The sequence below is a fragment of the Homo sapiens genome, chromosome 17 (assembly GCF_000001405.40).
Source record: "Homo sapiens chromosome 17, GRCh38.p14 Primary Assembly".
NCBI classification, from domain to species: Eukaryota; Metazoa; Chordata; class Mammalia; order Primates; family Hominidae; genus Homo; species Homo sapiens.
The window spans coordinates 63973418-63991597 of NC_000017.11; the positions used below are offsets into that span (position 1 = coordinate 63973418).

The 18180-nt window shown below is 53.6% G+C and overlaps 2 annotated features.

The window, feature by feature from the left end:
* Positions 13448 to 14001: an enhancer, noted in NCBI's record as "H3K4me1 hESC enhancer chr17:62064225-62064778 (GRCh37/hg19 assembly coordinates)". NCBI's record gives its function as "activates a minimal SCP1, AML or CMV promoter by ChIP-STARR-seq in naive H9 embryonic stem cells {active_cell/tissue: H9 hESC(naive)}" and the evidence as "EXISTENCE:reporter gene assay evidence [ECO:0000049][PMID:30033119]".
* Positions 14002 to 14553: an enhancer, noted in NCBI's record as "H3K4me1 hESC enhancer chr17:62064779-62065330 (GRCh37/hg19 assembly coordinates)". NCBI's record gives its function as "activates a minimal SCP1, AML or CMV promoter by ChIP-STARR-seq in naive H9 embryonic stem cells {active_cell/tissue: H9 hESC(naive)}" and the evidence as "EXISTENCE:reporter gene assay evidence [ECO:0000049][PMID:30033119]".

Genomic DNA, 18180 nt, shown 5'->3' on the forward strand with positions numbered 1-18180 from the left:
GGCTCTGTGCAAAAAGGTTGCTGTGATTGATTAGTGATGTCTGCCAGGGGCGCAAGGAGGAAGACCGTGGTGCCTCTGCCTGTGTTTGCCATCCCTGGCCTGGAGGGAAGGGAAAAGAAAGATGGGGGTGGGTGTGGATTCCTCTTTCCTGATCTTTGGGGTACTTGGTGTTGGGCTGGGAGAGGGAAGAAGAAAGGGCCCTGGGCCCGGCAGGGGTCTCCTAGCAGTTCCCTCCCACAGCCCTGGGGGCTCTAGCCCACTGGGCAGGCAGGGTGAACTGGGAGAGGAACATTGCATCTGGAGAGCTGCAGGTGCTAACGTGGAAGAGAAGACGTACAGGGAAGGTCACAGGGACAAGGAGATGGACAACTCCAATGGTGGGGGCAGGGCTAGAGCTCCTGGGGACTGCTTTTGGCTGGTGGTCCCAGCACAAGCTGGATTGGGGGAAGGGGCATCCACAAGGAGCCTTTGATGCCTGTGAGCATTGTGTGGTCTGGGCCCCACCTGGCCCCTCTCCCCTTCTGCCCAGCCCTCCAGAGCCTATTCCTGTGGAAGGGAAGGGGGATCACTTATTGCAAATGGCCCTGGGGGAATGACCACATCAGCAGGCAGTTGCAGTGAGACCCCTGCAGACCAGCTGCAGGCAGCCACTGCCAGACCCACATGGACAGACCTGGAGCCACCCCTGCACCACAGGGACCTGGACAGACCCCTAGAGACCCCCAAAGCCACACCTGAGGGTGGACCTCTCCCAGTGGGCCTTGACCCTTGCAGCAGCGCCCCTGCCCTGGTCAGCACGGGCGCTTCTCAGGCTTGCTCAACAGGTGGGGAGGGTGGCCAGGGAGAGGCCAGAGCCACTGGGCAGAGCTGGCCACGCCCTTGTGCCTGGCTCCCAGCTGCTCCTTACAGCACCCAGGGAGTCGTGTTTCCACGGGGATGACTCTGCTTATTCCTGCCAACCCTGCCCTCAGCTGCTCACTGGCCCCTGTCGTGAGCGTGGGCGTGCATGTGCACACACTTGCACACACAGGCACATGCACGCACACCCGGCCTGGAGCCACCCCACATGCAGACCTTCCCAGTTGCATCTCACAGCTCTGTCATATACCTTGCCACCTTCCTCCCCATCACCCACTCCACGTACACCCCCACATGCTGCTTGTCACTACACAGAAGGCGCCAACCAGCCAGATGGCCTTGAAGAGACCCCAGGGCTGCTGTGCACCCACCCAGTCTGCAGTCCCTGCTGTGATGATCCTCCTGTCCTGATACTGCTCACTCTTTTCATTACACGAGCCCAAGTAGGGCCACAAAAGCCCACAGACACATAGTCTGGCTCCCAACCCCAGCACTCGAGGAAATGACTCTCACCTGAGTCACCAGAGCTCCCCAGGGGACAGATCCAGTGTTTTCTTCCCCGCTGGCCCTCCTGAGCTTCCCACACCGCACACCGCCTTTCTTCTTGGGAGCAGGACATCACCTGTGCGTCCGGCCACTCTCCCCAGCTCTGCTCTGGGACCTGCCCCTTCCCTGCCCCTGGAAGATGCTTCTTCTCTGGGGCCTGCTCTGCAGCCTGTTTTCTTTGCACAGCGTACACCTCTCCCTTCAAAATGTTCACTTCCTCCTAATTTCCTCTTCTCCTACTCCTCCATTACCCCTGAGGTCTGGCTGTTTTGTAATGTGAGGGGAGGAATGTCCTCACTGGTTCCACTTGCTGAAGCTGGCTTTGGTTGGTGGCTGCCCGAAGCATCATGGTGGTAGATCTGGCCAGTTCCACACCCTACTGATGCTCCCTCTCCAGTGTCACTGCCCTCTCCACCCTCCACCCCTCACCTGTTCTGTTCAAATAACCTCCCCGCGTGGTGACATGCTCCTGTAGTCCCAGCTACGAAGGCAGGAGGATCCCTTAAGCTCAGGAGTTCGAGGCTGCAGTGAGCCATGATGGTGCCACTGTCCTCCAGCCTGGGTGACAGAGTGAGACCCTGTCTCAAAAACCAACCAAAGAAACACCTCCCACCAGGCTCTCCCCTAGACTGCCATAAATATTTGTAAAGTCACAAATTTCACCCCCTGCTTAAATCTTCAATGGCTTTCCACTGCTTAGGAGTACGTCCTAAGCCCTACCCAGGGCTCCCAAGGCCCTCCATGATCAGATCCCTGCCTCATTGCCTACCCTTCCCGCATCCTCTGGCCATGCTACCTCCATTTTCACAAATGGGCCAAGCTGTTTTCCACCCCCCTGCCCTAACCCCCATGCCTTTGCTTGTGGTTTGCTCTCCTCCCAGAGCACCCATCTTCTTTGTCTCCCTGGAGAGCTTCCATTCATCTTTCTAGACTCAACCCACACAAGAACCACCTCCTCCAGGAAGCCCTCCCTGGGTACCCTGGCTGGGTGGAACTCTCCCCTTGTTTGTGTCACCAGCTCAATAAAAGTTTATCAAATGAATAAGTGAGTGAATCACAGGGACACTCTACCTTAGCTCTTTTCTCCTTTAAGCATACCCTGAACCTAAATCATAACCAGAAACCATATCTCCTCTGAAATCACCACTTCAAACTCTTCCTTTGCCCCTGCCACCTTCTCAGCTCCTGGCTCAGGGGCCCGGTTGCTATAATCTTTGGGCACTTTCAGTTCTTTGACCCTGCACTTTCTCCCTTTCCACCTGCTTCTGACTTCATGTCCCTCCTCATCTAGGCTTACTTAGAAGATCATCATTCTGGTCCCTCCTCCACAGCTCCCAGGGAGAGATCCCAGAAGGAGGGATCTCTCTCCTTCTATCACACAGTCCTGGGGAACCCCTAACTGCATGTCCCCAGCTCTGGTTTTCCAAAGTCAGCCCCGAGCTGGAGAAATGTGGCTGGGGAAATGGTATGACTAGGCTGAGCTCACCGTAAATTCATGGTCACATATTCTGGGTTTGTCCTCAATCCTGCCAGCCCTGTAGTGTGGATTTTTCTGGTAGGCTCACTTTTCCACTTTTTGAAAACAACTATTTCATGCCTTCTCCTCTTTCCTCAGACCTCCGCGCTCCTCCCCATGAGCCTCCCAGCTGATGGTCTTCCCTGAGGAAGGAAGAACCACTACACACACACTGTCAAATCCACAGAACCATCTCCCCATCCCACCCCGTCTTCCTCTATCCTGTTAGAATAATAATAAGAAGCAAGGGTCAGGCTTTCCTGGGGCTCAGGACCCCAGCCCCTCTTGCTTCTCAAAGACCTCTCCAGGTGCCCTCTCTCTACTGCCCATCCACCTCTCCCCATCTGTGAACAGACTCTAGTGTCCCCCACTTTAAAAACAATGGCAGTGGTGACAAAACTATTCTCCTGGCCCCACACCTCCCTGCATCTATTGCCCTATTTTTCTTTCCTCTTCACAGTAAAACTTCTTGGAAAGTGTCTACACCAGCTGTCTTGACTTCCTTACCTTTCATTCTCTCTCCAATCCATTCCAACCTGGCTTCCGTTTCCCCTTCAACTGAAACTACTTTTGTCAAGTCACTAACACCCTCCCTGCTGCCAAGTCCAGTGAACACGCTTCTGTCCTCAGCTCCCAGAGCCTCTCAGAAGCATGCAGCCCAGTTGGCCACAGCCCCTTTCTGGAAGCACCTGATTCTCACAGCCTCCATGGAAGCTGCTTGCTGTTTCCCTTCCACATCCCTGGCTGCTCCGTATCACTTTCCTCTGCTTGTCCTGATTTCTGTCCCCAATCTCTAATGTTTTTCAGGGTTCGAGCTGGTTCAGGGTGGCATCATTCCTATGACCATAAATAATGTCATGGGGCCAGGCACGGTGGCTCACGCCTGTAATCCCAGTGCTTTGGAAGGCCAAAGTGGGAGGATCGTTTGAGCCTAGGAATTGGAGACCAGTCTGGGCAACATAGTGAGACCCTGTCTCCACAAAAAACAAAATAATTAGCTGGGTGCGGTGGTGTGTGCCTATAGTCCCAGCTATTCGGGAGGCTGAGGCAGGAGGATCACTTGAACCCACGGAAGTGGAGTCTGCAGTGAGCTGTGATTGCACTACTGCACTACAGCCTCGGCGATAGAGCAAGACCGTGTCTCTAAAAATCAATAAATACAATAAAATAATAAATTAATTATAAAATAATAAGTTCATGAATAAAATAATAGTAATGTCATGGGAATGTGATAAACGTTTCCCTTGACGTCCAGGCTGGTATATTCAACTGCCCCCAGACGGCTCCACCGGGATGGCTCACACCCTCCCAACTGCAATCAGACGTTTGCATCTTCCACTGTTCCACCCTTCAACCCAGGAAACGGCATCACTGCTATTGGCTGCTCAAATAAAAAATTAAGGTATCTCCCTGAATTCTCCTTTTTCTTCACCTTCCACACCAAGCCTGTCCAAAGTTCTATTAATATCATCTCCCACATACTCCTATATTTGACATTTTTCCATCTCCCTGGGTCCATACCACAATAGTCTCTTACAATAGCCTGTTTCCTGCTATCTGCTTTTGCACACACACCCTCCGAATCAGTCCCCTAAAATAGCTATTGATCTTTTAAAAACAAAAACTAGTCATGCTGTTTCTCCTTTTAAAATTCTCCAGGCTGGGCGCGGTGGCTCATGCCTGTAATCCCAGCACTTTGGGAGGCTGAGGCAGGTGGATCACCTGAGGTCAGGAGTTCAAGACCTACCTGACCAACATAGTGAAACCCCGTGTCTACTAAAAATACAAAAATTAGCCGGGCGTGGTGGCGGCACCTGTAATCCCACCTACTCAGGAGGCTAAGGCAGGAGAATCACTTGAACCTGGGAGGTGGAGGTTGCAGTGAGCCAAGATCACACCACGGCATTCCAGCCTGGGTGACAGAGTGAGACTCTGTCTCAAAAAAAAAAAACAAAAACAAAATAAAATATAATAAAATAAAATTCTCCAGTAATTTCTTGTTGCATGTAGAGTAAACCTAACCTTACCATAGTGGCCTCTCTGGCCTGGTGATCGAACCTTTCACCTTTGTCTCCTGATCTGCTCCCTCGTCTCTCTACTCCAGTCCCACTGGCCTCCTTCCAGCTCCTTGACCACTGCGCTGGCTCCTGCTCTTGGCCTCCACCCAGCTCCCGTTCCCCCCAGGTCCCTCTTTCCTCTCCCCTTTCACGTGGTTTTTCCTTCTCATCCCTCTGTGCTAAGCTCAAACGACCCCTCTTCCAAGGGGCCTTCCTTCTCCTTTACTCCCCGTCACAGGCCCCTGTATTTTCCTTGACATCATATATCATAATTTGTAATCACTGGCTTATTTGCCTTGTGTATTTTTCTGTCACCCTCGCTAGGCTGAAATGCCAAGAGAGCAGCGACTGTATCTGTCTTGGTTGCCCTGGCCAGTCCCAACACTGTGCACACAGTAGGCACTTAATAAGTGTCTGTTGAATGAAGGAGCGAATGGGGCCTTGGATACAGACCTTTCCAGGGACACAATGGATTCTGATATGTTTTGTTGATTCATTCATTCATCCACCCATTTATTCATTCTGTTTGTGGGCTGGAAGCTGAGCTGGGCATGAGTAGGACAGAAAGCTGCCACAGCTGACAGTCCTGGGGGAGGTGGACGTGGCACACGGTGTCCGAGACACAAGGAGAAGGTGAGGCCTGCCCTCAAGAGGGGAGTTGACTGTGTTTTGGGAGTTTGAGTGGATGAGGGTTACTTCCAAGTAGGGGAAGGAAAGGTGTGGCTTTTCAGTTGGGCCTCAAAGGATGAGTGAGTTAGGAACACAGGGAAATGGAGGGGAAGGACATCCCAGGGGACAAGAAGAGCCAGAGCAAAGACAGAGGCAGGACGCAGGGAACTCACTCATGTGTAGCACGGAAGCTGTTTAGGGGCTTGGGGGCAGGGAAGATGGCAGCTGGGCCAGGGCTTGCTGAAGGCCTGAGGGTCTGGACTTCAACCTGCAGCCTCGGAGAGCCCCTCACAGGGCAGGTGGGCTGGGGTGGTGCCATCACTGGCAGCATGTGTGGTCCGCTGGCCCACAATTTCCGTGTGTCTAGAATAGAGAGCATGAGCTGTGTTGTTTCAACAGGCAGCAGTGGAGGAATGGAAGGACGTCTGGGATGTACGAACTGTGACTTCCTGGCAGGGACAAAGCACCAACAAAGCTCCCAGAGATAAGGCAGGTGATGGGCTGGCCATCTCCATGTGGGTCCCTAGGCCACAGGCAGGAGTAATGGGGGCCAAGATGACGGCTCCCGCTCTCCTTCCACTTGCCTCCACCCCTGGGTTATCCCCTGAGATGTGGCAGCTGAGGGTCTGGGGGAGCTCCAAGCAACCTCCTCCCAGTGAATTTAAGAATGTTGGAGTCTGCTGGGCACGGTGGTTCACGTCCGTAATCCCAGTACTTTGGGAAAGCGAGGGAGGAGGACTGCTTGAATTCAGGAGTTCAAGACCAGCTTGGGCAACATAGCAAGACCCCGACCCTACTAAAAAATGAAACAAATTAGCCAGGGATGGTAGCACGTGCCCGTAGTCTCAGCTACTCGGGAGGTGGGGTGGGAGGATCACTTGAGCTGCAGTGAGATATGATTGTGTCACTGCATGCCAGGCTGGATGACAGAGTGAGACTCTGTCTCAAAAAAAAAAAAAAAAAAAAAGAATGTTGGAGTCACAAGGACTTGAGAGCAACATTTTGCAGATGGAGAAACTAAGGCCCAGAGGGGACCAGGACCCACCCAGAGCTCACATATTTATTCATTCAACAAACATTTTCTGAGCACCTGCTACAGTGTGCTGGGCTGTGGTCTGGGTGCCAGGGCAGACTGCAGCAGTGGCAAAGTCCCTGTCCTCACTGAGCTTGCATTCCAGAGGGAGGGGGCAGGCAGTAAATAGGGAAGCAAATAAGATAATTTTAGAGAGTGATAAATGAGAGGCTGAGCCAAGACTCAAACCCAGCTCCTCAGGAGCCAGGGCTGGAGTCCGTTTCACAAGCAAAAAGTCCCGTGGAACCTCCATTGAAATGGACGTTTGGGCGGAAGTGGTGGGCAAATTCAGGCTGTCCTGGGGGCCTGGAAGTGCTGAGCAGACAGGGATGGGGTGGGGGAGGAGGGGTTGGGAATCAGAGAGCCAGGCTGGGTCCAGCTGTCTGTGGGCAGGGAGCCGAGGCTGAGGACGCTGGAGGGCGAGGCAGCTCTTCTCTGGAGTGGGTCCAGCCCTGCATTGTCTTTCTCTGTGGTGCAGCCAGATCGGAACACCCAATTCCAGATATAGTCTGATCACAGAGGCCTTTTCTCCCTGGCCTGAACACCCTTTATGTTCATTCATTCCGGGATGGCATCACTTCTTCCGCAGCCCAAACAAAGGTGGGGTTTGCAGTCACTCCTAGGTCTTTTCCTCATGAGCTGTGATCTAATTAGGTCTTCCCCTTCTTAGGCACTGTGCAACTGATTTTTTTCTTTTAAACCCATGTGCACCTCACAAAATATTAGCATCTTGAATCCAACAATGTATGAAAAGAATTATACACCATGACCAAGTGGAATTTATCTCAGGTATGCCAGGCAGGTCCAACATTTGAAAATCAGACTGGAAACATTGTTTTATCCCTGTAATCCCAGCACTTTGGAAAGCTGAGGCGGGCAGATTGCTTGAGCACAGTTCAATAACAACCTGGACAACATGGTGAAACCTCAACTCTACAAAAAGTACAAAAGGTTAGCTGGGTGTACTTTTTGTACATCGTGGCGCCCACCTATAGTCGCAGCTAACCAGGAAGCTGAGGTGGGAGGATCACCTGAGCCCAGGAGGTCAAGGCTGCAGTGAGCCGTGATCACACCACTGCACTCCAGCCTGAGTGACAGAGTGAGACCTTGTCCCAAAAAAAAAAAAAAAATCAATTAATGTAATCCATCACATCAACAGGCTAAAGAAGATCACATAATTATATCAATAGATACAGCAAAAGCATTTGACAAAATGCAACTCCCATTCATGATGAAGTCTCAGCAAACTAGGAGTAGAGGGAAACTTCCTGAAGTTAACAGAGTGTTTACCAGGAAACCTACAGCTAACATTGCTTTGTTTTTCTTTTCTTTTCTTTTTTTTTTTTTTGAGACAGAGTTTCATTCTTGTTGCCCAGGCTGGAATGCAATGGAGCAATCTCGGCTGCAACCTCTGCCTCCTGGGTTCAAGAAATTCTCCTGCCTCAGCCTCCTAAGTATCTGGGATTACAGGCATGCACCATCATGCCTGGCTAATTTTGTATTTTTTTTTTTAGTAGAGACCGGGTTTCACCATGTTGGTCAGGCTGGTCTTGAACTCCTGACCTCAGGTGATCCACCCACCTCGGCCTCCCAAAGTGCTGGGATTACAGGCATGAGCCACCACGCCTGGCCTAACATTGCTCTTAATGGTGAGAAACTCAAAGCTTTCCCACTAAGATCATGAACAAGGCAAGGCTGTCCCCTCTCACCACAGCTTTCCAGCATTGGACAGGAAGTCCTAGCTAATGCAATAGGACAAGAAAAGGAAATAAAAGGTATTCTGACTGGGAAGGGAGAAATAAAACTATCTTTGTTCACAAATGATGTGATTGTCTAAGTATAAAATCAGAATAAACACGAAAATTTCTAGTACTAATCATGATAACAGCAGGGTTGCAGGATACAAGGTTAATATAAATCCAGGTGCAAGATTTTACATCTTCCTTTACTTAAGTTCCTTTTGCTCATTGCACCTCTTCACCTCCAGTCCTCTGAAGGTCAGCTGGATCTTGATTTTCCTTCAGTTCAAGGCCATCCCTCACAGCTAAGTGTCTCTGATCCTGTCCCAAATTATTGGCCAGGCAAATCTCAGGACAGATCTCCCTCCCTATCCCCATTATATCCTTCTAGAACCTTCCCTCATGGGACAACTACACTTTTGGCAAGAGTTCTTCAAACATCCAGAAATCCACCCAGCTGAAGTGCATCAGCCTGAAATCCCCCAAGTGGTCTCAGCCATGCCTCTGCCAGCCTGGAATATAAAAGCCACTGTAGGGGCCTGTCGTGGGGCAGAGGGAGGGCAGGAGGGATAGCATTAGGAGGTATACCTAATGTAAATAACGAGTTAATGGGTGCAGCACACCAACATGGTACATGTATACATATGTAACAAAACTGCATGTTGTGCACATGTACCCTAGAACTTAAAGTATAATAATAAAAAAAAGCCACTGTAAGGTACTAATATGGTTTGACTCTGTGTACCCACCCAAATCTCATCTTGTAGCTCCCATAATTCCCACATGTTAGGAGGGACCCAGTGGGAGATAATTGAATCATGGGGGTGGATCTTTTCTGTGCTGTTCTCATGATACTGAATAAGTCTCATGAAAATCTGATGGTTTTAAAAATGGAAAGTTTCCCTGCACAAGGTCTCTCTCTCTCCTTTCACCTGCTGCCATCCACGTAAGATGTGACTTGCTCCTCCTTGCCTTCCGCCATGACTGTGAGGCCTCTCCAGCCATGTGGAACTGTAAGTCCAATAAACCTCTTTCTTTTGTAAATTGCCCAGTCTGGGTATGTCTTTATCAACAGCATGAAAACTAATACAAGTACTCTTTTGGAAGATTGAGAATGAATGTAATCTGCCCCTCACTGCCTTCCCTGTTAACTCCAGGGCACATCCTTCCAGATGCAGAGGTGGCGGGTTGCTTGCTGGCCTTGCTCAGGCACCAGCCACCTCCCCTCTTGCCAACCAAGCATGCTCTTCATCTCTAGCAAAGCTGCTAGCCACCCACAAGGATCTAGCTGTTTTCTCTATGGATTGGGAGCAAAATGATCCAGTGCCATCTGTGGCCAGTGGAGACCCCACCCCCACCCCCAAGCTTCACCTGCAGTGGGGGCTCAGAATTGGAACTTCCTGGGAGTCTGAAACAGACCAGACTTCTTTTTCCTGGCCAAAGACAGCACCGGGCATCCGGGTGGCCCACTTCCCAAATTCCTGTGTTCCTGCTATGGCCCAGCTCCAGGAGTGAAAAATCCATCCCTATGTCCCCCGGGTTGTAAGTCTCAAGTCACAACATTTTCTCAGCTGGGGCAGGCTGTGGGTGGGGACGGGAAGGGGGTAGCTGTATTGTTTCTCTGCCAGCGCTTGGGGCCTGGAAAGGAGGAAGAGTGGCCTGTGCCTTGGCAGGCAGGGGCCTAGAGGAAGTCACCCCAGGTGGCCCTCCCCTCCTGGCCTGACACTCTGCAGAGGAAATCTGCTCTGAGAGACTTTGGAGGGAGGCCTGGAGCCAGGAGCCTCGGATGGAAACCTCCAGACACTCAGAGGCCCAGAGAGTTCCGGAAACCAATTGGGGTGATGTGGGGGTGGGCTCCTGCGTGAGGGGTGGGCTAAAGCTGATTGCATTTTCCATGGGGGCTCACTGGGTCAGAACAAGCCTCCCTGTTTTAAGCTCCTGATTCAACTGGCCTAATAACTTGTTCTACCCAAGGGATAAGAGTAACAGTGGTGGCCATGTTTATTTTGCACCTACTGTATGGTTGGTTTCCTATTCAGGATGCATGGGCAGGCCCTCCTTTCACTATCAGCCCCATTCCCTGACAATTTCCAAAGGCTCTCCAAGAACACTGGTTAGTTTTTTTGTTTTTGTTTGTTTGTTTCTTTCGAGACAATGTCTTACTTTGTCACCCAGGCTGGAGTGCAGTGGCACGAACGATCTCGGCTCATTGCAACCTCTGCCTCCCGGGTTCAAGCGATTCTCTCAGTCTCAGCCTCCCAAGTAGCTGGGATTACAGGTGCCCACAACCATGCGTGGCTAATTTTTGTTGGCCAGGCTGGTCTTGAACTCCTGGACTCAAGTGATCCACCTGCCTCGGCCTCTCAAAGTGCTGAGATTACAGGCATGAGCCACCGCACCCTGCCAACTGGTTAGTTTTTCCCCAACTTTCTTCCTCCTCTCCCAAACCTGACCCTTTTCCTCTACCCAGAGTGCTTCTAGCAGGCTCAGTTCTGATGAAATAAAAGCCCACAAACATGCTGGTTGGGTTTCAGGCACCGTGCCCACTTCCCACTAACTTCTCCCAGCTCATCTGTCGGCCCCAGAAGCCTTTTCTCCCCAGACACAAGGTTCCAGAGTGGGTTTCTCCTCCCAAGTCTGAGCCTTAAGTTAAAAGAATTTGTTGTAAGATGTGGAATTCTGAGCTTCAGTCAGCTTGGGAAAGATTTTCCATAGCGTGGGAGGGGCTGGTTTCTGGCCCCCAAATCTCCGTGCAGTCACCTGTAGTGCTGACGTGCACAGGCCCATGAGGTGGAGGCTTGAGAAATATTTCTAGATGAAAAGTTATCATGGACATGTTCATTTGGAGCTTATCACGTGCCAGGCACTGTCCCAGGGACTTCGCTTTCATCATCCTAGCTAACCAGCGGTGGAGCCAGGTCTTGAACGCAGCTCTCTCTCATGCCAAGCCCCTGCGCCTGCTACTACAGACTCGGCCTCCCTCCAGCCCCTTGGGGAACTCGGCTGGGCATAGTTGCCCTCCCTCAGCACGGGGCCCGCCCAGGTTGAGGTCCCACTCAGTTTGCTCCCTGGACTGGCCTGACTCTCAACCATCTATCCCCTTCGAAGGGCAGACCAGATCCTTGGGCCAAGCCCCTGAGAGGTGTGGGCTGGGGTCGGCATCTGGTAGGCCCTGGCAGGGTCGTGCTCAGGCCTCCTGGGGTTTTGTGCTGGGAGCTGTGTGTGGGAGGGGTCAGTGGGGGGAAGAGAACCACAGGTCAATTTGCACCAATTCACCCTCATATATCCCCTGACCCCCATATGGCCTACTTAGATGCATGCACATGCCCTCGCCAGTGTACACACACACACACGCGCGCACACACACACACACACACACACACACACTCATTGCCTCTATGAGTCATTTCCCAGCTGCTCAAAAGGGTGGGGAGGCTAATTTGTTCCACTCAGGCCCAGGGCTTCCTGCCCTCTGTTGGCTTGGATCTTTCTTTTACAATCTTTTCTAGAGATATGGTCTCACTATATTGCCCAGGATGGGCTCAAACTCCTGAGGTCAGTTGATCCTCCTGCCTCAGCCTCTCAAGTAGCTGGGACTGCAGGTGTGTACCACCATGCCTGGCATCAGATCTTTTTAAGGAGCCCCTGAGCATGATGGCCCCCCAAACTGGTGTGTGTACATCCTCTACACACACATCTAAGCCCACCTCCCCTGCCCTTAGACACATCGCCCCTGAACATAGAGCCACCTCCCTTCCCCTCCTTGCTCCTCAAAGCAGTGGGTCCACGGAGAGGCCACCAAGAGGCCTGCTCACACCTGTTCCTGGGCCTGGAGAACTCCAGGCAACCTGGCTCCCCATTCCCTCCATCTGTCCCCAGCCATCCAGGGAGGGTGGCCTTCGAGTCCTCCCGACTTGAGACAGGGGAGCTGGGGGCACAGTCACCAGCACTAGAGAAGAGGCTTTTCAGTAACAGCCTGAAACCTGGAGGAAGGAAAGGCTGACACCCAGCTCCCCTGCTCCCACGACCACGAGCACGCCCCCTTCAGGAGATGCGCCCTGCCGCTCGCTCTGGGAAAGTCCTCCACTGCAGAAAGTACTCCAGGGGTGTTTCCTCCCCAGCTACTCTTTGGAGAGCCTTCTCCAAAGCTAGACTGATCACGAACTTGCCAACCTCAAAAAAAGCTAAGTGTTGACAGCAGAGCTTACTGAAAGGTGGGCTGGAAGGACCTTGCTCTGCCGCTCTGGCGTCATGGCCATCATGGCCACATCTGCAAACCACAGGCCCTCATGGAAGGGGCTCTGCAGTCCACTTTATAGAAGGACCCTCACCCAGCTGGACATGGTGGCTCAAGCCTGTAATCCCAGCACTTTGGGAGGCTGAGGCAGGTGGATCACTGAAGGTCAGGAGTTAGAGACCAGCCTGGTCAACATGGTGAAACCTCATCTCTACTAAAAATACAAAAAAAAAAAAAAAAAAAATTAGCTGGGTGTGGTGGCGGACATCTGTAATCCCAGCTACTTGGGAGGCTGAGACAGGACAGTCACTTGAGCCTGCGAGGTGGAGGTTGCAGCGAGCCGAGGTTGCACCACTGCACTCCAGCCTGGGTGACAGAGTGAGACTCTATCTGAAAAAAAAAAAAAAAAAAAAAAAAAAAAAAAAGGTCCCTCACCCAAGGGAGACCAGATAGGGAAAAAAAGCCCATCCCTGACCCCCAGCTCCGAAGGGTGCCCAGAACTGAACAAAGCCATCCTTCTTGTAACTCTTTCTCTCTTCTTTTCCCTGGGATGAGACATTTTATGTCAGGGTCACAGACTGGCAATAGCCACAATAATACTGTTGAACACGTATGTAGAGCTGGTTACATGCCAAGCACTGTTCCAGGCACCTCACATGTCCACGAGCACATCAAATTCTCACCCTGATCCTGTTATCACCCCGATTTGACAGATGAGGACACTGAGGGACAGGGGAGATAAGTAACTCACCAGATGGTATTTACATAGTAAACTGGGATTGGAAGCCTGGCCCTCAGGGTTTGAAAGAAACTTGGGCTCTTAATCAGGAGGTGGACCATGACCTTCAAGCACCTATGGGGTAGGTGGGGGTGCCTGGTTTCACAATCCAGTTCAAAAACAGGATGGGGGCCAGCAACTATTGGAGTTTCACTCTTTCCTTTTACGCGAGGGCTCTTGGCAGAGGGCCCTGCCCGGGCACTGTGGCTTCCCCACCACCTCTACTGTCCCTGGGTTCCTTGAGCCCCCCTCTCTCCTCCAGCAGCCCCATCCCCCCAACAAGGGCTGTTGACTGAAAACTGCAGGGAATAAAAATAGCTGTTGCTGATGAGGCAGAATGGGGGCCAGAATGCATGAAAGGCTGGGGTGAGGGTGCTGCAGGGAACCTGGGATCCCCCAGCCCCAACGAGCACCTTCCAATGGAGCCACGGGGGACCTGGCCTGTCCCTGCCACAGCAGGGCTGGGGACCCCTGCCGAAGTCACCAGAACTGCTGGGAGCCCCACATCTGCCCCAGCCGTAGGGCTGCCCATGAGACCCACTGCCCTCTGCCCCGACCCTGCCTTGCACCAGTCAGCTTCCTCCCCAGGGAGCGGGGGCCTTGGCTTCTGTGGACAGAGCCCTGTCCACTCGTGAGCTGTGCGCCCCGGGGAAGTGACAGGAGTCAAGGGCCTGACTGTTTCTATAACCTGTTCCCTGGTCCTTGACACCCTCCTCCAGCGTCCCCTCCCTTCTCCCAAGCTGCTCTCTGAGGCCTCAGGGCCAGATTTTCCGTTTGAAGAGAGCCTTTCCACCCCTCCCTGAAGGTTCCAATCCTTCCTGCCTCTCTGGTTAAGCCTCCTCCAGGAGCCTTCTCAGAACCCCGCCCCTGCCCTGAAGATGCACTGTCCCCACCCCCACCACCATCAGATCTGTCCTCCTTTCTGATGGCCAGAGTTGCCCCCAAAAGGCAGACACCTTTTCAGAACCACCCCAACACTTGACAAGGAGTTCTATGTCTTCAGCATCAAACTCGGGGCTTCCCTGGGCCTGGCCTGGGGTCATGGCAGAGACCCTGGCGACGTAAGTCAGCAGAGCAGGTCTCGACCAACACTCAGGCCAGCCTGGAGCTGAGGAGAAGACCCCTGAGGCTGAGCTCGCACCCCATGCAGGTTTCCAACCAGAAATGATGAGCAGGGCCAGGCTGGGATGGGAGCCACCTAGGAAGGACCCTCCGTTGCCTTCCCCAAGCCCCCTAAAATCCCAGCACAATTCCTTGAGAGATGCCAGGGATGGAGAGGGGGAGGGCTGCTGAGGAGCCCGGGGGCAGGGCACATGTGGCCAGGGGGCTGGGCAGGCCCTTACCCAGCTCATCTTTGCTCGGTTGCCCTGCCTGACACAGGTTCCAAGGCCCTTGGGTCTATTTACGTGGTCCCGCACAGGTGATGTGGCTCCAAATGCTAGCACAGTGACCATAGCTGTCCATACCACTGCCACACAGAGTGAGGCCACTGGCCACAGGCAGGGGACTTGGGGATGGCCCAGAAGAATCCGGAGGGTCCTGGTAGAACCAGCCCTCCCTGCCTCCAAACTACATCCCCCCAACTCCACTCAGGCCACTCTGCCTTCTCCACCAGCCACGGCCCACCCCAGCAGGGAGGAAGGGAGGGGGCTGTGTTCTGTGCCAGCCCCGACCCCCGGACCCCACTCTCCGGCCCTGTGTCTCCTCCTAAGACCCCCCGCCCCCAGACCCCTTCTGGTCCCCCAGAGTACCCTTTTTGCTGTGGTCACATATTTTTCCCCTCAAGCTGGGCTTTCTGGCTCCCGTCCCCATGTCCCCCTCGCCTTCCCGGCAGGGCTCAGCGCTCTTGACTTCTCTAGGAAAAGAGCCCAGCCGTGCCGGGTGGGCTGGGGGAGGGGCAGGGACGTGGGCAAAGCCTGGGATGTGTCCTCTGCTGGCATCTCGCAGATTCCTGTTCTCAGCAGAGCAAAGGAGCCGCCAGCACCCCCCACCCCGGCCTCCTGCCGCACTCCTCCCCCCACAGCCCTGCCTCTGAGCCATGCAAACAGGCCAAGCAAAGTCACTGTTTCGGCTCCTTGCTCTCCTCTCCTGAAGAAACTGCAGCCCCGTTCTGTGTCCCTTGGGTCACCCATGCCCCTCCGGAGCCGAGCCTTAGCCCTTGGGCTGTTTGTGACCAGAACAAGGAACCTTGCTGAGGGCAAGGACAGCTCGCCAGGCCGGGGCAGAGGGAACCGATGACGGGACAGAGAGAGGCAAGTCTGGGGCTGGAGAGAGGGTCCAGGCACCAGAAGATTCGGCAGAGGCTGCGGGACAGAGCAGGGTCGGGCCGCAGAGTGGGCAGGCGGTCAGCAGTACCCAGAACAAAGTGGTGACTTCCTTGGAGCCAGGCTGGGGTTGGGGCCAGAGAGTCCTGCCCCTCGGGGTGGCCTGCCCCTCGGGGTACCCGGCCTGGGGCGGGTGTGGGGGTGCAGTACTCACTATTGGACGGGAGCAGAGCGGTTGCTGACAAGCCCAGAGCGCCGTGCCCACCTCAGGCTGGGGCTGGAACTCTGGGGGACTTGGCTGGGGGGCCGGGCCGGCGAGGACAGCTGCTGCCGCTGATGTCACAGGGTCATGAGTGAAACCTGAGGACTGGGCCAATCTTCAGGTGGGAGCCTCAGCCACAGTTCCCTCGCCGGGTGTACTCTGGGCTCAGCCTGCGACCACTTGGGCTCCAGCCTCACTGCTCCAGGAGTGACAGACTCCCGGGCACACGCACCCATTCACAAGGGCACACAAACACTCACTCACTGGGACACATGTATTAGCCCACATAGGTGGTTCTTCTCCCAACCTCGACAGTTTACACAGGCTCATCTCATACTCGAATCTCCACACTTATTCCCAGAAGCACTCCTGAGGTACGCGCTGGCTTACACTCACACAGTCGCTGGCTCACTCTCACAGTCACTCGAGTGCACACTCACGGACGCACCCACACAAAAGCTGTGCTCCCACAGGCTCAGTCATGTGCAAATCACCCTTCATACGTTCACGCAGATGCTTCCTCTGCTGTTACACCCGTTCACACACATGCCGCCAGCTCACACGCACAAACACACTCACACCCGCGCAGCAGGCTTGTGCACATACACATGGCTTCTAGTTGTGCCCACAGTCACATTGTGCCCTGAGCAACACAAATGCCATATTGCACAGACACAAGACTCTTACTGAGTGCCTGCCTGTGTGTACACACACCACAGCACAAGCACACACACTCACACCCACAACTACAGCCACAGCCACACCCACTCCTACAGCCACACACACCCACACCCACTCCACACACACACACACGCGCACACACAGCCATGCCCCTGTGTTTATGGATTTCATGCATGTGACATGCTCCCATTCATGTGGAGAAGTACCACTAGCATGGTCACTAGATGTGCGCCAAGCGTATGCCCATCTATACACCCACAGCCGTACCCTCACATCGCACACCAGACACACACAAGTGCATGCACACCCCCGCCCCCAGCTGTTTAGCTGGACCACACAGACATATCCAGGTCCCTTCTCCACCCCCACGCCCACCCCCCTGGCTGGACATCCGTCCCGGGCTGAGGGAGGGCTGTGCTGGGGGCCAGGTTGATGGACCCCACCTCCTCCCTCCACTCTGGGGCTCTGGTGACCCCTGGTGGAGCCGCTATGAAGTGCCCCCTGGCTGCCAGCTGGAGAAACCCCTGGGGAGTTCTGTCGCCCAACCGTTGTTCTCCCAAATCCGTCAGCCTTGGCAGTCCCGTGCCACCATCTTTCCTGGCAGCCCAGAGCTCCGGCAGCTGCCCTGGGCCCCGAGTGAGCTGAGCCCAGGTCAGAGCAGCCTTCGACAGAAGCATAGGGAGGCCTGGGGAGGCGCTGCCCACCCCCCGTCCCCACAGCAGCTCCGCCCAGACCCTGTGGACACAGCCTCAGTCCTTGCCGAGCCCCTCCTGGGGGCCAGGCCTGCCCGTGGTTCAAGAAGTTCCTGCCAGGCCCGATGCCCATCTCTGCCCAGCCCTCCTCTGTCTGTGGCCTGTGGTCCCCACGGAGTTGCCTCACACCCCCAGAGCTGTTTTCTAAACCTAGGTGTGACGCTGGTGTTCTCTATGCAGAGAATCCTGACTTGTGATGGTTCCATTTAGGATCTTTCTTTCTTTTTCTTTCTTTCTTTCTTTCTTTCTTTCTTTCTTTCTTTCTTTCTTTCTTTCTTTCTTTCTTCTTTCTTTCTTTCTTTCTTTTTCTTTCTTTCTTTCTTTCCTTCTTCCTTCCTTCCTTCCTTCCTTCCTTCCTTCCTTCCTTCCTTTCTTTCTTTCTTTCTCCTTCCTTCCTTCCTTTCTTTTTCTTTCTTTCTTCTTTTTTTTTATGGAGTTTCACTCTTTTTGCCCAGGCTGGAGTGCCTTGGTGCCATCTTGGCTCACTGCAACCTCTGCCTCCCAGGTTCAAGTGATTCTCCTGCCTCAGCCTCCCAAGTAGCTGGGATTACAGGTGCCCACCACCACACCCAGCTAATTTTGTATTTTTAGTAGAGATGGAGTTTCACCATGTTGGCCAGGCTGGTCTCAAACTTCTGACCTCAGGTGATCCGCCCACCTCGGCCTCCCAAAATGCTGGGATTACAGGCGTGAGCCACAGTGCCTGGACCATTTAGGATTTTTTCAACTTCATGATGGGTTTATTGGGA